This window comes from Homo sapiens, chromosome 19 (genome assembly GCF_000001405.40).
Source record: "Homo sapiens chromosome 19, GRCh38.p14 Primary Assembly".
NCBI lineage: Eukaryota > Metazoa > Chordata > Mammalia > Primates > Hominidae > Homo > Homo sapiens.
This window is the reverse complement of record NC_000019.10, coordinates 34,947,863-34,969,886: the sequence shown is the minus strand read 5'-3', so window position 1 is coordinate 34,969,886 and position 22,024 is coordinate 34,947,863. Positions and strand designations below refer to the sequence as shown.

Here is a 22,024-nt window from a genome sequence, read left to right as displayed (position 1 = left end):
GGATCCCTCATGAATGTGTTGGTGCTGACCCCACAGTAATAATAGTTCTCCCTTGCTTCCTGCCATGTGATCTCCACACACCAGGTCCCCTTCACCTGCCATCATGAGTGGAAGCTTCCTGAGGCCTCATCAGAGGCTGATGCTGATGTCATGTTTCCTGTACAGCCTGTAGAACCTTGAGCCAAATGAACCTCTTTTCTTTTCCAGATAAAAATAAATTAGTGGCTGGGTGCAGTGGCTCACTCCTGTAATGCCAGCACTTTGGGAGGCTGAGGCAGGCAGATCACTTGAGGTCAGGAGTTAGAGACCAGCCTGGTCAACATGGTGAAACCTGTCTCTACTAAAAATACAAAAAATAGCCAGGTATAGTGGCGCACATCTGTAGTCCCAGCTACTTGGGAGGCTGAGGCAGTAGAATTGCTTGAATCTGGGAGATGGAGATTGCGGTGAGCCAAGACTGCACCACTGCACTCCAGCTTGGTAACAAAGCCAGACCCTGTCTCAAAAATAAATAAATAAATAAGCTGGGTGTGGTGGCACATTCCTGTGGTCCCACCTACTCAGGGGGCTGAGGCGGGAGGATCACTTGAGCCTGGGAAGTCAAAATGGCAATGAGCTATGATCATGCCACTGCACTCCAGAGTGGGCTTTAGAGCAAGACCCTGTCCCAAAGAAATAAATCAATAAAAATAAAAATAAAATTACCATATGACCCAGGAATCCCACTACTGAGTATACATCACAAGGAATTGAAATTGGTATGTCAAAAAGATATCTGCACTGCCATATTCATTGCAGCAATGTTCACAATAGTCAAGCGACTGAAGTGCTCATCAACAGATAAACGGATTTGTACAATGTGGTAGAGATACACAACTGAATACTATTTGGTCATAAAAGAGAAGAAAATCCTGTCAATTGGGACAACAAGGTTGAACCGGAGGACATTATATTAAGTGAAATAAGTCAGGCACAGAGGACAAATACTACATAATCCCACTCATATATGGAACCTAAAAAAGTTGTCTCATAGAAATAGAGTGAAATGTTGGTTACCAGAGGCTGAGGTTGCCAGGTGGTGGGAGTGGGGCAATGTTGGTCAAAGGATATAAAATTTCAGGTAGCTAGGAGGAATAAGTTCAAGAGATCTATTGTACAACCTGGTGACTGTAGTTACGGTGTATTCTTGACAAATGCTTAAAGAGTAGATTTTAAGTCTTCTCAACACAAAAAAGATAACTAAGGCTGGTGCCATGGCTCACACCAGTAATCGCAGCACTTTGGGAGACCAAGGCAAGGAGGAGTGCTTGAGCCCAGGAGTTTGAGACCAGCCTAGACAACATGGTGAAACTCCATCTCTGCAGAAGATACAAAAAACTAGCTGGGTGTTGTGGTGCACGTCTGTAGTCTCAACTTCTCGGGAGGCTGAAGTGGGAGGATGGCTTGAGCTCAAGAGGTCAAGGCTGCTGTGAGCCACGATAGTGCCACCGTACTCCAGCCTGGGTGAGAGAATGAGACCCTGTCTCAAAACAAAACAATGTGAAGTGATGCATATGTTAATGAGCTTGATTTAGTCATTCTGAAGCAGGATATTTCCCTGACCCCTTCTTGGATGGGAACTAGAGTACATGGGCGCTGTCAGGGACGAACTCCACTCGCTTGTTGTTCCACCCCTCATGGGGAGGGGAGCACAGGTGAGTGGGTGCAGGAGACAGGGTGAGGGCTTTTGGGTGCTGGCAAGAGCAAATTCCATACTAGCCCCACGGCAGTGTCTAGGGGAAGGTGCTGTGACCCCTGAAGCCCCTGACGAAGTGTTACAGTGCCCTTTTAGCTTTGCCATCCATGCATAGCTTAAGTGTTAACAGCTCAGTGGAGGGTCAGTGCGACAGCCTTTTGTACCCACACTCATGGCACCCAAGTTTTTGTCTGGCATCCAGGAGGAATGAGGTCACACAAACAAATTGAAGATGGTAAATGCAGGGGATTTTATTGCCGGTGAAAGTGGCTCTCAGCAGGAAGAGGAGCTGAAAAGGGGATGGAGCAGGAAGGTAATCGTCCCCTGAAGTTTGGCCATCCCTGGCCATCCTCTCCAAAGCTACGCTGTCAAGCTGTCCCTTTGAAGTCAGCCTGCTTCTCTCCAACATCCAACCATAGTCTCCAATGTCCAGCTGCTTTTCTTCTCTCTGCCGGCTGAGCCTGGGGTTTTTATGGGCATAGGATGGGGGGCAGGGTGAGCCACGGGTGGTTTTGGAAAAGGCAACATTTGAGTGGGAAAACAGGGATGTAAGTTCTCACTTTGGGCCGTGGTATCAAGATTTTCAGCTTGATGGACCTGGCCTCTTCTGCCCAGAATTTCCCTACCTCCTGTCCCTATCAATTCCACAATGTATCTATATTTCAAAACATCATGTTGCATACAATAATTATATATTATTTTATAAATTTAGAAAAACAAAAAAATGCAGCTATAAGAAAATAATAAAATAAAATCAAGTAGGCAAATGTTACTATGGTGTGCTTTCATGTAAAAATCATAACTATTCCCTCTGAGGCGGTACTTGCTGAGTTAGAGTCATTGTATATTTTGACAAACATCCAAAAGACTGCACAGAGGTGTCTCTTCCCTGCCGCCCCACAGCAGTGTTTGTAAGATTCTTGTGATGATGGTGTTGGTAATGACAATAGCTTTTATGCACCCAGCAGGAATTCTGTCCTGGGCCCTGTTATCTACCATTGTAACCACCCAATGGGTTCTTTTTGCCTGCTACAAAAAGACCACGGCATTGCAGTAAACAAAGTCTTTAACTGACACAGGGCCAGCCATGCCATGGGAGAAACAGAGTTATTACTCAACTTGATCTCCCTGAAAATTCAGTGATCAGAGGTTTTCAGGGATAATTTGGTGGGTGGGGGGCCAGGTAGTGGGGAGTGCTGATTAGTTGGGTTAGAGATGAAATCACAGGGAGTCAAAGTTGACTAACTGCACTGAGTAAATTCCAGGGTGGGGACCACAGGACCAGATGACCCAGTTTATCAATCTGGGTGGCACTAGCTGATCCATCGAGTGCTGGGTCTGAAAAATATCTCGAGCACCAATCTTAGGTTTTACAATAGTGATGTTATCCCCAGTAGCAATTGGGAAGGTTTAAAATCTTGTGACCCCTGGCCCCTGGCTGCATGACTCCTAAACCATACTCTCTAATCTTGTGGCTTTTGTTAATCCTACAAAGGCAGTCTGGTCCCCAGACAAGAAGAGGGTTTGTTTCAGGAAAGGGCTGGGTTTTTTTGTTTGTTTTTGTTTTTGAGATGGAGTCTCGCTCTGTTGCCCGGGCTGGAGGCGATCTCAGCTCACTGCAAGCTCTACCTCCCGGGGTTCATGCCATTCTCCTGCCTCAGCCTCCTGAGTAGCTGGGACTACAGGTGCCCGCCACCACACCTGGCTAATTTTTTGTATTTTTAGTAGAGACAGGGTTTCACCATGTTAGCCAGAATGGTCTCGATCTCCTGAACTCGTGATCCGCCTGCCTCGGCCTGCCAAAGTGCTGGGATTACAGGGGTGAACCACCATGCCCGGCCTAGAGGGAAAGGGCTGTTATCTTTGCTTCAAAGTTAAACTGTAAACTGAGTTTCTCCCAAAGTTAGTTAGGCCTATGCTCAGGAACGAACAAGGACAGCTTGGAGGTTAGAAGCAAGATGGAGTTGGTTAGGTCAGATCTCTCACTGTCATAATTTTCTCAGTTATAATTTTTACAAAGGTGGTTTCACCATATGACATGTAGTATCGGGGGAACCCACCCCCGATAATTCAATGTGGGTTCTTTTCTATTTTCCCTAAGTGTCGGCTGGTCTGAGAAATAAAGGGAAAGAGTACAAAAGAGATAAATTTTAAAGCTGGGTGTCTGGGGGAGACATCACATGTCAGCAGGTTCCGTGATGCCCCCGAGCCATAAAACCAGCAAGTTTTTATTGGCAATTTTCAAAGGGGAGGGAGTGTACGAATAGGGTGTGGGTCACAGAGATCACATGCTTTAAGGGCAACAAAAGATCACAAGGCAGAAGGTCAGGGCGAGATCACAAGGTCAGGGCAAAACTAGAATCACTCATGAGCTTCCATGTCCTGCTGTGCACGCATTGTCATTTATAAACATCTTAACAGGGTTCAAGAGCAGAGAACTGGTCTGACTAGAGTTCGCCAGGCTGGAATTTCCTAATCCTAGCAAGCCTGGGGGCGCTGCAGGAGACTAGGGTGTGTTTCATCCCTATCTACATGTGCATAAGGCAGACACTCCCAGGGCAGCCATTTTAGAGGCACTGCCCTGGGAATGCATTATTTTCCCAGGGCTGTTAATTATTAATATTCCTTACTGGGGAAAGAATTCAGCGATATTTCTCTTACCCGTTTTTGGTAATAGGAGAAATATGGCTCTGTCCTGCCCGTCCCACAGGCAGCCAGACTTTAAGGTTATCTCCCTTGTTCCCTGAAAATCGCTGTTATCCTGTTCTTAAGGTGCCCAGATTTCATATTGTTCAAACACACATGCCCTACAAACAATCTGTGCAGTTAACGCAATCATCACAGGGTCCTGAGATGACATACATCCTCAGCTTACGAAGATGACAGGATTAAGAGATTAAAGTAAAGTCAGGCATAGGAAATCACAAGAGTATTGATTGGGGAAGCGATACATGTCCATGAAATCTTCACAATTTATGTTCAGAGATTGCAGTAAAGACAGGCATAAGAAATTATAAAAGTATTAATTTGGGGAACTAATAAATGTCCATGAAATCTTCACAATTAATGTTCTTCTGTCACGGCTTCAGCAGGTCCCTCCGTTCGGGGTCCCTGACTTCCTGCAACAATGTAGTGTTATTTTTCCCATTTTATTTACTGGATTTCAATGAGAGTCCCTGCTGTAAAGTTGGAGCCAGCATTGGAGTCCCCAGAGGGCTTGTTAAAACAGAGAAGGAGGCCTGGCACCATGGCTCACTCCTGCAATTCCCAACACTTTGGGAGGCCGAGGTGAGAGGATCACTTGAGCTCAGGAGTTTGAGACCAGCCTAGGCATCACAGGGAGATCCAGTCTCTACAAAAAATTTTAAAATTAGCTGTGTATGATGGTGCACGCCTGTATCCCATCTACCTGGTAGGCTGAGGCAGGAGGATAGCTTGAGCCCGAGATGGAGGCTGCAGTGAGCTATGATCAGGCCACTGCACTCCAGCCTGGACAACAGAACGAGACCCATCCCCCCCGCCCCCCCCGCAAAAAGTAGAGAAGGCTGAATCCCATCCCCAGAATTTCTGAGTCCTTAGATTTAAGTTGTTGCCCCAGAACCTGCATTTTCAGCCAGTCCCCAGGTGATGCTGATGTTGCTGGTTTGAGAAGCCCTGAATCAGAGCGACATTTAATATTACAACGCAAAGACCCCGCCCATTGGGTACTATCCCCATTTTCCAGTGTGAATTTAGGTCCCTTAGGGGTGAAGCGGCTGGCCGATGCCCACACGCGCAGGAAGAGCACTGGGGCTCTCCTCCTGGACCTCGGAGGGTGGGCGGGGTTTAGCGCGGGCGGCTGCAGGCTCGGGAGCGGCCCCTTTAAGGGGAAGGCCCGAGGGCTGCAGGCGGCGGCGGTGGAGACCCGACGAGATCCGCTCTCCTTCCCGCCCTGGACCCTCAGCCTGACGAGAGGCTGGGCAGAAACTCGCGATCCCCAGGCCCTGCCTGTGCACCAGCGGCTGGCGCCAGGCCAATGACAGTACGGGAGAGGGCAACTCTCCCGGCCGCCACGGTGGGGGCCGGAACTTCCTGCACTGCAGCCTCGCAGGTCATTTCCCGGCGGGGAGGCTGAGTCCCCAGGAGCTGGGGACCCCGAGTTGGGGGCGGGGCGGCTGGGGCTACGCCCGTGAAGCTGCCCCGCCGGCTTTCCCGGACCGCGAGGGGGACAGTGAGGCCGGGACCCCCTCCGCGCCTTTGCACCAGCCGTGACCCCTTGCAACGGGGGTACCCAGCGGAGCTGCGCGCTCTCGGCGCCCCCGGAGCCTGCGCCCCGGGCCCCTTGCGCATTTTGCACGGGGGAGACTGAGGCTAGGAGTGCGACCCTCAGCCCGGGGTCACACCTCGTCTGGGGCACGGCCAGGTGGGTGGTAGCCTCAGCCTGCGAGACCCCCTACCCCCGCCCCGTGGTTTCCCGCACCGTGGGGCCCTGCTCTGACCACAGACTCCGATGGCAGCGGCGGCGCTGCGGGACCCCGCGCAGGTGAGTGCTTGGACGTTAGGCCCTTCGCTGTCGGCCCCCCACGCTTCTGTTCTCGGTGTTGAGACGCAAAAGATGGCTTTGTTCTAGGACTTTTCGCCTTTCCCATTTCCTTGCTTTTGAGTCAGGGGACCCTGGAAGGGAGTTGCTCCCAGCTAGGATCCTGAATCAGGGCAGGGTTTATATAAAGTGGCTTCCGTTGCTGAAATGTAATGGGATGGAGGGAGAAAGGGCTTTGTAGGCACAGGAACCAGCGTGCGCAAAAGCTTGGGGGTGGGGTGGGGCACGGTGTGGAGACTGAGTTGGGAGTGTTCAAGGAACCCCACCCAGGTCAGTGTTATTAATATTATGTCTGCTGGAACCAGAGAGCAGGTGGGCTGAAGACAGCTCAGAACGGCAGAGCTGGGCCTCTGTTCTGAGGGTGTTGGGAGCCATGGAAGGTTTAGGGCAGAGGAGGAAGATGCTGTGACTCAGGTCTTAACAGGCTCCCTGTGGATGCACAGTGGAGAACTGAATATGGAGTGAGCCGCAAGCAGGGATGCCAAGGAGTAGCCTAATGGAATAGCCCAGGCCAGTGCTGCGGCTGGCCGGACCAGAGTGAGGACTGGAGGTAGAGGAAGTGATTGGGAACTTGATGTCTTTTAAGTCAAGCTGACCAAATTTTCCGATGTGGAGGGTGAGAAAGAGGAGGGAAGAATCCATGGTTTTTGGTTTGATGAATCCAGCTTTATGAACTGAGAAGTTGGTTTTAGGAGGAATTTTCCATGGAAGCAGTAGAAGTTAGGTTTTGGCCAAGTTGAGCCTGTGATGTCCCAGAGACCCCCAAATGGAGTTGAAGAGTGGGCCGCTGAACACACAGTTCGGGTGTTCTGAGGGAGTTGTTAAGGTAATGAGAGACTGGATATTCATTCGAACAATGGCCAGATCATGTATACAAATAGAACTCTGCCCCAGAACCTGCCCAGGAAACCAACCCCCTTATCTACAATAAACAACCCATACAGCAGGAAGCCAGCCTGCTGTCTGTCAGACCCACAGGAAGCCAGATTGCTATCTGGACTGACAATCCAGGAAGTAAAAACAATAACTTCTGTAATGAGCAGTCCCAAATGGCCAGGGTTTGATTAATAACAGACAGCTTTCCTCATTTTTGCTCCTGCTTCTGATTTAAGAACAACCAGAGAAAGGCAGATACGCACCCTAACCAATCACATAGGATGCCCACTTCTAGTTCACCCACCTACGAACAGGAGCCTCCAACCAGGGCACGCCTGAAGCCTTCCTTTTCTTTTGCTATAAAACTCTCCCACTCCCGGCTTGCATTGAGTCTCTCTTGCTATAGTGAGCTTTGAGTAAGTAGCCTTGGCTTTTCTCATTTCATTGGTCTTTGTTTATTTCAACAGTTAGAAACATCCAAAATGTGACATCTGGTGTGTGGACGGGAGTGTAGCTGTGTGTGAGATTTAGGAGGTGAAACTTCAGGTCATGGTGACAATGATGTTAAAAAAAAGAGGAAGGTGGGGCTGGAAAACTGAGAGCAGGGTTCTTGCTTGGGGACTGTGGCTTGTTTGGCATCATAAAGACAGGTGAGGAACAGTAGTGGTCATGGTGGTGATGGAGGGGCTATGTGGGTGTATCAGAGGGTCTGGCAGGTGGCCAGATCATCCCAAAGAGTGTAGACATGAATGAGATGGATGCTGAGGCTTAGCAGTAGAGGAGGTAATATTGCAGTGAGGCCTGGGCTGGTGCTTACACACTCACCTATGTTCTCACCAGGCTTCTGTGGTGACCCTTGATGGGGTTTGTCCTCAGGCTGGGGAATTAGCTTGGGGCAAGAGGAGTCAGTTGGCAGAGTTGCTGGGCTTAGGTGGGTGGGGGTAGGATGGCCAGAGGGGTTGGCTTTTTTTTTCTTTTTTAAATGAGTGTGAGTGATGACAGGGTCAGAATGTGCAACAAAGAAGGCCAAGTGTATGTGACATCCATGTGTGCCGTGGGTGGCTTAGGTTGAAGCCAGGCCAGGGGAGCTAGGGGGCTCCAAGGCAAGGGTGGAGCGCTCCCTCTCCCCCTTACCTGGGTGTTGCCCTTGGCAGTGGAGGCCATCAAAGGTCTGGGGCAGGCTGGGATGGTGCTTATGTTTGCCAGGCACTCTCTGGATGCCATGTGCAGAGTGACTCGTGGGAGCCCATGGAGATGGCTAGGATAGGGGCCAGGATGGGGAGAAGGTAGCAGTGGCAATGGGAGGCCGTGGTGAAGGTCTGGAGCTGTGAGGGTGGTGCAGTCCAAAGAGTGAAACGCACGTGGGAGGGAGTATGAGCTGTTCACCCCAGGGCTCTGGACTGGGGTTTAAAGGAGAAGCCCACATTTGTATCTGAGAAGCATGACATTGGTGACACTAGGGGAAGAGGCTGGCAGAAGAGCGAGCTGGGCCCTGGACTTCAGGCCCAGAGCTTAGAGGGTGCCTCTCTGCACCCTGCCTGTTGCTGCTGCGGGCTGACACAGTGGTCACATGAGGCGCCCACAGAACCAGGGCCTGCTACCTCCTGGAGCTGTGGAGCTGGGGAGGAGAGTGAGCAGGGGATGGATAGGGAGTCCCAAGGACAGAGACTGATCATGGAACGAACTGTCCCCATCATGGCAGGGCTGCGTGACCTTTGAGGACGTGACCATTTACTTCTCCCAGGAGGAGTGGGTGCTCCTCGATGAGGCTCAGAGACTCCTGTACTGCGATGTGATGCTGGAAAACTTTGCACTTATAGCCTCGCTGGGTAAGGCTGTCACCCCTACCCCGGTGTCCCGAGCTCCTCTCTGCCTGTCCCCTTTGCCCAAGAAACAGCTCTTTCCTTCCCACAGCCAGACCGCTGGCACTGCTTCCATCCCCACTTTCCTGGTATGTGTGTTGTGGCTTCTGGGGCTGAGCTATGTGCATTGTTCCCTCCTCTCCCTGAGCTGCCCCCACACCTGCTGCCTGAAGCCTTGCAGGGAAGCTCCAGGCATGAGGGGTCTTGCGGTTAGCTGTGTGACTACCTCTGACTCGGCCATTCCCTCCTGGGTGATTATCCAGATCTGACAGTTCTGTGGTTTAGATTCTGTGCCTTTCCTCTTGCTAATATTTCCTAAGCCTGACTGTGCCAGGAATTCCAATCACTGATGTGGTTACTGCTTGCCGTGACCACCCAATGTCCCTGTGTCATACGGAGCTTCCTGTCTTGTAGTCTATCATGGGGTAGTTCAACTGGGCAGGTGCTGGCCACTGACCCACTCTGTCTTTCCCTTAGGACTTATATCTTTCAGGTCCCACATCGTTTCCCAGTTGGAGATGGGGAAAGAGCCCTGGGTGCCTGACAGTGTGGATATGACATCAGCCATGGCCAGAGGGGCTTATGGCAGGCCTGGCTCTGGTAAGCAGCGATGGGAGCTAGGGGAGGATGTGACTTCACCACTGTGTTTACATCATACCAGCATCTTCTCTCCTATTCATCATCATTTGATACCAATGCCAGTAGCCAGACCACGTCTCTGCTTTTCCTTCCCCGTGCTTGACACATTATCTACTTGTCATTATTATTCTGAGTTGGGCCCCTTGGCTGTGCCCCACTTTTCTGGCCTCCGTTTCTCTCTTTCAGCTTCCTCTGCGGCACTTTCCAACACTGGCCTACACTTAATGTGTTGTGAGATACGTGCTTTTCCTTGATGTGCTTGAACACCAGCTACTCAGTTGCAGGTTTTGCTGGGTCTAGATGCTCTCACTGCATAGCCCTCACAGGTTACCAGCAGCCCAGGCCCTGCCAAAAGGCCTTTAAAGAGAAGTGAGTGGGAGACCCTGCCTCTCTGCCCAATACTGTCCCCCATCCTTGTGTCCCTGGTCCTGATAAGGCCTCCTGTATTTTGTGACCTGGCCAGGCACAGTATGGCGGAGCAGATTATTCCTTACCCTGACCTGAGCCTTCTTGTGTTGCCAACAATCCCATGGGCTTATTCTTGGGTCAGCCAAGCATAGGTGATGGGGCTCTTTCCTTCTATTAAAGTTTATACGAACTTCACCAGCATTTCTCTGCTTTCAGATTTTTGCCATGGAACAGAGGGCAAGGACTTACCTTCTGAGCATAACGTTTCTGTAGAAGGAGTGGCACAGGACAGGAGTCCCGAGGCAACTCTGTGCCCCCAGAAGACCTGCCCCTGTGACATATGTGGCCTACGTTTGAAAGACATTTTGCATTTGGCTGAACACCAGACAACACATCCCAGGCAGAAACCATTTGTGTGTGAGGCATATGTGAAAGGCTCTGAGTTCAGTGCAAACCTTCCCCGGAAACAGGTGCAGCAGAACGTACACAACCCTATCAGAACGGAGGAGGGCCAGGCTTCCCCTGTAAAGACCTGCAGAGACCACACATCAGATCAGCTTTCCACCTGCAGGGAGGGTGGGAAGGACTTTGTGGCCACAGCAGGGTTTCTGCAGTGTGAGGTCACTCCCAGCGATGGGGAGCCGCACGAGGCCACCGAAGGTGTGGTGGATTTTCACATTGCACTAAGGCATAACAAGTGCTGTGAATCTGGGGATGCCTTCAATAACAAATCCACTCTTGTTCAGCACCAGAGAATCCACAGCAGAGAAAGGCCTTATGAATGCAGCAAATGTGGAATCTTCTTCACTTACGCCGCTGACCTCACTCAACACCAGAAAGTTCACAATAGAGGAAAACCGTATGAGTGCTGTGAATGTGGAAAATTCTTCAGCCAGCACTCCAGCCTTGTTAAACATCGCAGGGTTCACACCGGTGAAAGCCCTCACGTGTGTGGTGACTGTGGGAAATTCTTCAGCCGAAGCTCCAACCTCATTCAGCATAAGAGGGTTCACACTGGTGAAAAGCCATATGAGTGCAGCGACTGTGGGAAGTTCTTCAGCCAGCGTTCCAACCTCATTCATCATAAGAGGGTTCATACGGGCAGAAGTGCCCATGAGTGCAGTGAATGTGGGAAATCTTTCAACTGCAACTCCAGCCTAATTAAACATTGGAGAGTTCACACTGGAGAAAGACCTTACAAGTGTAACGAATGTGGGAAATTCTTCAGCCACATTGCCAGCCTCATTCAACATCAGATAGTTCACACTGGCGAGCGGCCTCACGGGTGTGGTGAGTGTGGGAAAGCCTTCAGCCGAAGCTCTGACCTCATGAAACATCAGCGAGTTCACACTGGTGAGCGGCCTTATGAATGCAATGAATGTGGGAAGTTATTTAGCCAGAGCTCCAGCCTCAATAGCCATCGGAGACTTCACACTGGTGAACGGCCTTACCAGTGCAGTGAATGTGGGAAATTCTTTAACCAAAGCTCCAGCCTCAATAACCACCGGAGACTTCACACCGGCGAGCGGCCTTATGAGTGCAGCGAATGTGGGAAAACCTTCAGGCAGAGGTCCAATCTGAGGCAGCACCTGAAAGTTCACAAACCAGACAGGCCTTACGAATGCAGCGAATGTGGGAAAGCCTTCAACCAAAGGCCTACCCTCATTCGGCATCAGAAGATTCACATCAGAGAAAGGAGCATGGAGAATGTGCTCCTTCCCTGTTCACAGCACACACCAGAGATAAGCTCTGAGAACAGACCTTATCAGGGCGCTGTCAACTACAAGTTGAAACTTGTTCATCCAAGTACCCACCCTGGGGAGGTTCCCTAGGAATGCTAGCTGTGTTGGAAGCTTTCTGGAGACAAGTTACATTCTCTTACTGTAGAGTTTATCAGCGTTTTTTCACTGCTGGGGTTGTGATAGAAGCCATGTCAGCACCACACACTGCAGCTCTCCAAAGAGTGTGTCCACCACTCCACTGTGCTCAGGGAAGGCAGACCTCTCCTCTCTCTTTCCAATCCCTAAAGGGAATTAGGAGTAGTCTGAAGCCTTGGGAAGATGTCATTCCCGCCCTGTATGGCTGGTTTAGCCATGGACATGACCAGCTTTTGGCTGTGAAGACCTGAGCAGGGTTTTGCCAACAGCTTGTTCTAGAGAAGGTTTCCCTTTTTCTGGGACATTGTTGGTCTCATGTTATGCCTGTGAAGGATTTGTCCAGCCTTCATGTTACTCTACACAACAACTTATCTCCTGTGTATTGCCCTGGTTCATGTGATGATAATGGCCTTATGATAAAGCCGCCTTTAGTCTTCCATGTTCTGATCACTGTGTGGGGTGGTTCAAGAGCAGAGTTAAGATCTACCAAACTGAAGGGGTCTCCAGATTATCTTGGAGGGGACAGGAGGATGGCAGAGAAACAACTGTCAATCCAGATTTGACCTCATTTGCATTGCCACCAAGGCCTCCTAGGAAAAATTGTAGGAATTTATGGGTATAATATTGTGGTCTGAATGGCGTGAATTTTTATCCCGAGGAGGGGGCAGTTGTGACAACCTCCAGTGCATGTGGGAACAGCATGAATTGGGTCCCTTATTCCCAGGGGGTGCCCCATATTCCCCAATACTGTAAAGCAGATGCTGTTTAGCACCTGCCAAGGAGCCATATGCCCTGAAGTTCAGCATTAGGCAGGTATCTCTTAACTGTAAGACATACCAGGCCCAGCTGGGACCATAATTTGTACAGAAACACTGGATGTGATTAATAGGGAGTAGGCGAGATTATAGCAAACCAGCAGAAATGGAACTCTGCTAAATGTGCATCCGTGAATGCTCCCTTGAATGTGGCTGTGCAGGATTCAGGGTTTGCAGAAATTCTCAGGACCTCAGACCTCTGTCCTATGACTAATGTTACTGGCAGAGCAAATAATCTAAAGGTTTTGGTTTTGTGGATTACCATCTCCGTGCTGTGCATCTGAAGGCCAGTGCTGTGCTGGCAGGAAAATAGGGACTGAGAAAAAGCAGATCCTATACTATAGGGACTGTAGTATCTATGACGTAGCCAGCCATTCTTTGCTCCCAAGGCAAGAAGAAAGAGATGACAGAGTCAATATAGGGTTGCCAAATCGGATTTTCTAAAATGAGTAGGAAGTTGGATTTTTATGTGCAACAGTTTCTTTTAATGCTTTGTTGATATGTGATTGTCATGCAATAATTATTCATATTTGGTAAGTTTTGTACATATATTATGTACACTCAGGGAACCAATACCATAATCATGATAATGAACGTATCCATCACCTGCAAAGCTACCTCATGCCCCTTTACATTCCCTCCTTGCCTTCCCTAGGAAACCGTTGATTTACATTTTTTACTTTAGATTTGTTTGCCTTTTCTAGAATTAACACAATTGGAATCATAAAGTATTTATACTCTCTTTTGGTCTGGTTTCTTTCATGCAGCATAATTATCTTGAGAATCATCCATGCTGTGTGTATATATAGTTCATTCCTTTTACTACTGAGTAGTGCTATACTGGGTGAGTGCACCATAGTTTTTTATGGTTTATTTAAAAATGTTAAAAAAATCTGATGAAATATACTTAACATGAAATTTACTATCCTAACCATTTTTAGTGTATACTTCAATGGTATTAAGTAGATTCGTATTGTTATGTAACCATCACCACCATTCGTCTCCAGAACTCTTCAATCTTGCAAAACTGAAATTCTGTACCTGTCAAGCAATAACTTCCCATTTTCCCTTCCCCAGCCCCTCAAAACCACCATTCTACTTCCTGTCTGTATGAATTTGACCACTCTAGGTACCTCATATAAGTAGAATAATAAGTATTTGTCTTTTTGTAGCTAGCTTATTTCACACTTAGCATAATATTCTCAAGGTTCATCAATGTTGGAGCATATGTCAGAATTTCCTTTTTAGGGCTGATTAGTATTTCCTTGTATGTGCTGCATTTTGCTTCTCTATCATGTGTCAATGGATACTTGGGGTGCCTCCACCTTTTGCCTATTTCGAATAATGCTGCTCTGAACCTGAGTGCACAACAAATATCTATTCAAGACCCTACTTTCAACTCTTTTGGGTATATGCTCAGAAGTAGAATTACTAGATGATATAGTAAATCTATTTTTAGTTTTTTGAGGACCTGACATACACTGTTTTCCACAGAACTGCACCCTTTCACATTCTTACCAACAATAAACAAAGTTTAAAATTTTTCAGAGCCGGGTGTGGTGGCTCATGCCTGTAATCCCAGCACTTTGGGAGGCTGAGGCAGGTGGATCACGAGGTCAGGAGATCGAGACCATCCTGGCTAACACGGTGAAACCCCATCTCTACTAAAAATACAAAAAATTAGCTGGGCGTGGTGGCAGGCGCCTGTAGTCCCAGCTACTTGGGAGGCTGAGGCAGGAGAATGGTGTGAACCCAGGAGGCGGAGCTTGCAGTGAGCCGAGATCACGCCACTGCACTCCAGCCTGGGCAGCAGAGTGAGACTCCCTCTCAAAAAAAAAAAAAAAAAATTTGTTTTCCTACATCCTCACCAGCACTTGTTTTTGTTTTTTTTGGTGGTAGCCATTCTAATGGGTGTGAAGTAGTATCTTATTTGATATGCTTTCCCTAATGATTTGTGACTTTAAGTATCATTTCATGTGCTTACTGGCCATTTGTATATCTTTGGGGAAATTTCTATTCAAGTATTTTCTCCATTTTTTTTTCACTCACCCCTCCTTATCTCCATTTTTTTTTTTTTTTTCTGAGATGGAGTCTCGCTCTGTCGCCCAGGCTGGAGTGCAGTGGCGCGATCGGCTCACTGCAAGCTCTGCCTCCCGGGTTCACGCCATCCTCCTGCCTCAGCCTCCCGAGTAGCTGGGACTACAGGCACCTGCCACCACGCCCAGCTAATTTTTTGTATTTTTAGTAGAGATGGGGTTTCACCATGTTAGCCAGGATGGTCTCGATCTCCTGACCTCGTGATCTGCCCGCCTCCGCCTCCCAAAATGCTGGGATTACAGGCATGAGCCACTGCGCCCGGCTTCTTATTTCCATTTTTGAATTGGGTTGTTTTGTTGTTGAGTTTTACAACTTTTCTGTATATTCTGGGTACTAATCCTTTATCAGATATTTTCTCCCATTCTGTGGACCGTTTTACTCTGTTCATAGTGTCCGTTGATCAGAAAATTTTAAATTTTCATGAGGTTCAATTTGTCTATGTTTTCTTTTGGTGTCTTTGCCTTTGGTGTCATATATAAGGAACCATTGCCACCTATGTCTCTAAGAGTTTTTATAGTTTTAGCTCTTACATCTAGGTCTTTGATTCATTTTGAGTCACTTTTTGGAGTTCATTTTTGTGTATGGTGTTAGGTAAGGGTCCAGCTTCACTGTTTTGCATGTGGATATCCCATTTTCCTAACACCATTTGTTCAAAAGACTGTCTTTTCCCCATTGGTTGGTCTTGGCACTCCTGTCAAAAATCATTTGAGCATATATGTGAGGGTTTACTTCTGAGCTCCATTTTAATTCTGTTGGTGTGTATGTCTGTCCTTACACCAGTTTCATGCTGTTTTAATTACTGTAGCTTTGTAGTAAGTTTTAAAATTAGGAAGTGTGAGACCTTCAACTTTGTTCTTTTTCAATATTCTTTTGGCTGTTCAGGATCCCTTGAGATTCCATATTAATTTTAGAATGGATCTTTATATTTCTGCACAAGATATTATTGGGATTCCATTAAATCTATTGATCACTTTGGGTGGTATTGACATCTTAATAATATTAAGTTACCCAATCTGTGAATATGGAATTTCATTCCATTATTTATGTCTTTGCTTTCTTTCAGGAGTGTTTTGTAGTTTTCATTGTACAAGTTTTCACCTCCTTGGTTAATTCCTAAGCATTCTATTACTTTTGATGCTAATGTAAATGGAACTGTTTTCATGATTTCCTTTTCAGATTGTTCATTGTTAGTGTATGGAAATGTAAGTCATTTTTCTGTGTTGATTTTTTTTATCCTGCTAGTTTGCTGAATTCATTTATTAATTTTAAGTCTTTGTGTGTGTGTGTGTGTGAAAACTTTAGAATTATCTACATATAATATCACCTGGGATCAGAAATAATTTCACTTCTTCCTTTCCAATTTGGCTGCCTTTTACTTCTTTTCTTCCATAATTACTCTGGCTAGGACTTCCAGTACCATGTTGAACAGAAACAGAGAAAGAGGACATCTTTGCCTTGTTCCTGATCAGAAAGCTTTTGGTTTTTCACCATTGAGAATGATGTTAGCTATGGGTTTTTATATATGGCTTTTATTACATTGACATAGTTTCCTTTTATTTCATTTTTTGAGTTTTTTTTTACATGAAATGGTATTGAATTTTTGTCAAATGCTTTTTCTGCATCAAAAGAGATGATTGGTTTTTTCCTTTATTCTGTTAATATGGAATAGTATATTGATTGTTTTTCATGCATTGAACCATCCTTGCATTCTAGGAATAAATCCCACTTGGACATGGTGTATAATCCTTTTAACATGCTGCTTAATTTGGCTTGCTAATATTTGATTGAGGATTTTGGCATCAGTGTTCATAAGGGATATTGGTTTGTAGTTCTCTTATGTTTGGCTGGCTTTGGCATAAGGGCAATTCTGCTTCATAAAATGAGTTAGGAAGTGTTTTATCCTTCAGTTTTTTGGAAAAGTTTAAGAAGGATTGGTGTTAGTTCTTTAAGTGTATAGTAGTATTCACCAGATAAGCTGTCAGGTCAGGGCTTTTGTGTTGTTCATGTTGAGAGGTTTTTGATTCTCTATGTTTACTGTTGATAGGCCTATTCAAATTTTTCTTTTTTCTTTTCTTTTTCTTCTTCCTCTTCTTCTTCTTCCTCTTCCTCTCCTTCCTCTTTCTCTTCTTCTTCATCATTGAGAGAGAGTGAGAAAGAGAGGGAAAGAGTCTCGCTTTGTCACCCAGGCTGGAGTGCAGTGGCATGATCATGGCTTACTGCAGCCTCAACCTGCTGGGCTCAGCAATCCTCCCATTTCAGCTTCCTGAGTAGCTGGGACTACAGGCACGCACCATCATATCCAGCTGATTTTTATTTTTATAGAGACAGGGTCTCTCTATGTTGCCCAGGCCAGTCTCAAACTCTTAGGCTTACGCATTCTCCTGCCTCAGTCTCCCAAAGTGCTAGGATCACTGGCATAAGCCATGGTACTCAGCCTTTTAGTTTTTCATGATTCAGTCTTGGTAGATTTTGTGTCTCACAGAATATATCCATTCTAGGTCAACCAATTTGTTGGCATACAATTGTTCATAGCTCTCTTGTAATTTTTTTTATTTATATAGACTCTATCATAGTGTCTTCATTTTAATTTCTAATTTTATTAATTTGAATCTTCTTTTTTTTGTCATTTCTAACTAAAATTTCGTCAATTTTGTTAATCCTAACAACCAACTTTTGATTTTGTTGATTTTCTCTATTGCTTTTATATTCTCTAGTTATCTCTGCTCTAATCTTTATTATTTCCTTCCTCCTGCTAAATTTTTGGCTTAGTGTTTTCTTTGTTTTTTGTTTTGTTTTTTTTTTGTTTTGTTTTTTTTTTGAGACAGAGCCTTGCTCTGTTGCCAGGCTGGAGTGCAGTGGCACGATCTTAGCTCACTGCAACCTCTGCCTCCCAGGTTCAAGCAATTCTCCTGCCTCAGCCTCCTGAGTAGCTGGGATTACAGGTGTGCACCACCACACCTGGCTAATTTTTGTATCTTTAGTAGAGACAGGGTTTCACCAAGTTGGTCAGGCTGGTCTCGAACTCCTGACCTCATGATCTGCCTGCTTTGGCCTTCCAAAGTGCTGGGATTACAGGCATGAGCCACCGCGCCTGGCCAGTTGTTCTTAAGTTTCTTAAGTTATAAAGTTTTTCTTAAGTTTTTTTAAGTTGTAAAGTTAGATTTTTGATTTGAGATCTTTCTTCTGTTTTAATATAATCTTTATAGCTATAAATTTCCTACTTAGGCACTGCTTTTGTTGTATCCTACAAGTTTTTGTATATTGTTTTCCTTTTCTTTCATCTCTATTTTATAATTTCCTTTGTGATTTCTTTGATATAATGATTATTTAAGAGTGTCATTTGCTCTCTGCAAATTTGTGAATTTTCAAGTTTTCCTAACCTCTTGTGATCAGGGAAGATATTTTATATGATATATATCTTTTAAAATCTATTGACCCTTAATTTATGGCCTGACATGGTCTATTTTGGAGAATATCCCATGTGCAAGTGTATTCTATTGTTATCGTGTATTCTATATATTTTCTGTTAGATCTAATTGGCTTATTGTATTGTTCAAGTGCTCTATTTCCTTATTGGTCTTCTGATTGTTTTATTTATTATTGAGAATGGGTTATTGAAGTCTCTAACTATTGTTGTAGAACTGTCTATTTCTTCTGTTAATTCTGTGTATTTTTCCTTCATATATTCTGATGGTCTGTTATTAGGTATATAAATGCTTATAATTGTTATATGTCCTTGCTGTCTTGAATCTTTTCTTAATATGTAACGTCTCTCTTTGTCTCATGGAACCACATTTTGATTTAAGGTCTATTTTGTTTGATACCAGTATGTCCATCCCTGCTTTCTTTTGGTTACTATTTGCATGGAATATCTTTTTCCATTCTTTTACTTTCAATCTATTTCTGTCTTTGGATCTAAAGTGAAACTTTGTAGACAGCATATAGTTGGATTATCGGTGTTTTTTTTGTTGTTGTTGTTTGTTTTTTAACTCATTTTGCCAGTTTCTGTGTTTTGCTCTGAGGATTTAATCCAGTTATATTTAAAGTAATTACTGATAAGGAGGGACTTACTTCTGTCATTCTGCTATTTATTTTCTATGTGATTTTAGCTTTTTTGTCCCTTATTTCCTATATTACTCTCTTTTTGTGTGTTTGATTTTTCAAATGTGAAACATTTTAATTTCATTCTTGTTTCATTTTGTGTATATTCCATAACTATTTTCTTTGTGGTTACCATGGAGATTACATTTCACATCCTAGATTTGTAATACTCTGATTTGAACTTTTACCAGCTTACCGTTAATAACACAGAAAAACTCTGATCTTATACAACTCCATCCCCAACACTTGTAGATAGTAATGTCACAAAATTACCTCTTTATACATTGTGTGTCCAAAAACATAGATTAATAATTTTTTAACACATTCGTCTCTTAAATCACATAAAAAACAAAAAGTGGAGTACAAACCAAAGTTACAATAATATGAACTTTAAAATTTTCCCAGGTATTTGCCTTTACTAGAGATCCTTATTTCTTCTCATGGCACTGAGTTACTGTCCAGTGTCCTTTCATTTCAACTGGAAGGACTCCCTTTAGCATTTCTTGCACAGCAGTTCTCTTGGTAACGCATTCCCTCAATTGGGAATGTCTTCATTTCTCCCTCAGTTTTGGTGGATAGTTTTGCCAGATTTAGGAGTCTTGGTTGTCCGTTCTTTTCTTTTAGCACTTTGAACATGTCAGCCCACTGCCTTCTGCCTTCTGTCTTCTGCCCTCTAAGGTTTCTGATGAGAAATCTGATAATCTTAGTGAGTATCCCTTGAATGTAATGAGTCACTTCTTTTTTGCTGCTTTCAGTATTCTCTTTATGTCTCTGTCTTTTGACAGTTTGATTATAATGTGCCTCAGCGTGAGTCTCTTTGAATTCATCCTTCTTGGAGCTCATTGAGCTTCTTGGGTGTTTATATTTATGTCTTTTTACATCTGTATAGTGTGTTAAAATAAAAAAAAAGTCTTTCATCAAATTTGGGTAGTTTTGGCCATTTCTTAAAAATAGTCCCTCTTCCTCCTTGTTTCTCTCTTTCCTCTGGAACTCCCACCTTTTCTTCTATTAGCTGCATGTTGGTTTTTGTCTGTTACAAATTGAGCTACTGTAATCATTAGTGTGTAGGTCTTTGTGTGGGAATATTCTTTCTCTTCTCTTGTGTTATTATCTAAAAGTGCAATGCCTTTGTTGCAGGGTAGGTGAATATTTTACATTTTAAGAAACTGCCAAATTGTGTTCTAAAGTTATTATACCATTTTACATCCCCTGCCTCCCTGATTGTGAGCAAGAGTTCCAGTTTCGTCACATAATCACCAACAATTGCTATGATCTGTGTTTTTAATGTTTATAATGCTACTAGGGATGGAGTAATAGTATCTTATTGTAGTTTTAACTTGCATTTCTCTAAGGCTTCATGATTTTGAGCATATTTTAAATCATGTTTTTATTTGCCACCCATATAACTTCTATGGTAAAATGTCTACTGATATCTCTTGCCTATTTTAAAAGTAAATATTAGTTGATATTGAAATAGTAAAGAAATTTTTTGGAACTGCAGTCATTTATTAATAATGCCAGTGACTTATTTGTTTTGTAGGGTAATTTTGAATATTGGAAGAATATTTCCTCAAAATTTTGTGCTGTTCACAATGGGAAACTAGAGACATGAAACACTTTTAAGTTTAATCTGAATTATTAACATATTCTCTGCTTTCTTAAGTCTACCTGGTCAATAAAACAACAGATCAAGTTCTGGTTTGTAGTGTTTACCAATACCCTAGGTGTAAATACTTCTGTCTTGGCCAATTTCAAGCTACAACATGATGTCTCTGAATATGGAGTTGGGAAGATATGTGCAATAGCACGCCATTGTATTCTGTTTCCACTGAATAGATGCAATAAACGTAAATAACCTCTAAAGCATAGATAATAGTAAAATAATTAGGAAATGAGGATTTTTTTAAGTATTTTTTTTTCTTTTTAGAAAAACAGCTTTATTGAAGTCTAAACTACACATATTTCACAGGTACAAGTTTTGGTACATGTTTATAGCCATGAAATTAAAGGTTTTCTTGGGCTCTTTGTAATCTCTTCCTCCTTATCCACCTACCCGTCTTTAGGAAACCACTGATCTGCTTTCTGTCACTCTACATTTGTTTACATATTTTAGAATATTACATTAATCTGGAAGCAGCTTAGGTAGGTCAAGGTTGAGAATCCCCCATGAAATTGCAGTTAAGCTGTCTCTGGAGCTACAGTCTCAGGAAACTTGCTGGAGGCTGGAAGATTCAATTCTAATCTCTTTTCCATGGCAGTTGACAGGAAGCTTTAGTTCCTTGCCACATGGATCTCTCCATAGGGATGCTCGTCACAGGGATTCTTTCAAACAGAGAAAGTGATCCAAGAGCAGGAGAGTCTACCCAAGAAGGAGACCAGTGTCTTCAATAACCTAAAATTGGAAGTTACATGTTCTCATGTTTTCTGTTTTATACGGGCTTTACAGATCAACCCTTGTAAAATGTGTGAGGGGTACCCAAGGGTAAGAATTCCAGGAAGTAGAGATTTGGGGTTCTTTTTAGAGTTTACCTGCTACAATCACGTTTTACCTTGTTTTAAAGTCTTTTTTTTTTTTTTTTTTTTTTTTTTTTTTTTTTTTTTGAGACAGAGTTTCAGTCTTGTTGCCCAGGCTGGAGTGCAACGGCACGGTCTTGGCTCACCGCAACCTCCGCCTCCCAGGTTCAAGTGATTCTCCTGCCTCAGCCTCCTGAGTAGCTGGGATTACAGGCATCCGCCACCACGCCTGGCTAATTTTGTATTTTTAGTAGAGATGGGGTTTCTCCATGTTAGTCAGGCTGGTCTCAAACTCCCGACCTCAAGTGATCCGCTTGCCTCAGCCTCCCAAAGTGCTGGGATTACAGGCGTGAGCCACTGGGGCACCTGGCCTTAAAGTCTTTTAATGGTAAATTGCATTGATTTTCAAATATCAAGTGAACTTTTATATTTTGAGGGTAAATCTACATTTTCTTGATGTGTTATCCTTTTTTTGTATTGTTGGGTTTGATTTGCCAAAATTTTGTTGAAGTTTCTATACC

General features: G+C 44.6%; 1 protein-coding gene and 1 long non-coding RNA gene across 2 annotated transcripts, besides 2 other annotated features; one reads left to right on the top strand and one right to left on the bottom strand.

Annotated features, from left to right (window-relative positions):
• Nucleotides 1-1,966: 1,966 nt before the first annotated feature.
• Nucleotides 1,967-6,461, bottom strand: LOC124904699 (uncharacterized). The gene is made up of 2 exons (XR_007067236.1): nt 6,214-6,461; nt 1,967-2,196 (listed from the first exon to the last, which is right to left on the bottom strand). It is a non-coding gene; the product is annotated as an uncharacterized LOC124904699 (long non-coding RNA).
• ZNF792 (zinc finger protein 792) lies at nt 5,658-13,533 on the top strand. Its single transcript, NM_175872.5, has 4 exons — nt 5,658-6,257; nt 8,893-9,019; nt 9,530-9,652; nt 10,316-13,533. Exons 1-4 carry the CDS (start codon nt 6,225-6,227, stop codon nt 11,929-11,931), a joined length of 1,899 nt encoding a protein of 632 aa, NP_787068.3. The 5' UTR covers nt 5,658-6,224; the 3' UTR covers nt 11,932-13,533.
• Nucleotides 5,897-6,156: a silencer, noted in NCBI's record as "silent region_10511". NCBI's record gives its function as "represses an Ori minimal core promoter by ATAC-STARR-seq in GM12878 lymphoblastoid cells {active_cell/tissue: GM12878}" and the evidence as "EXISTENCE:reporter gene assay evidence [ECO:0000049][PMID:35858748]".
• Nucleotides 6,267-6,316: a silencer, noted in NCBI's record as "silent region_10510". NCBI's record gives its function as "represses an Ori minimal core promoter by ATAC-STARR-seq in GM12878 lymphoblastoid cells {active_cell/tissue: GM12878}" and the evidence as "EXISTENCE:reporter gene assay evidence [ECO:0000049][PMID:35858748]".
• Nucleotides 13,534-22,024: the final 8,491 nt, after the last annotated feature.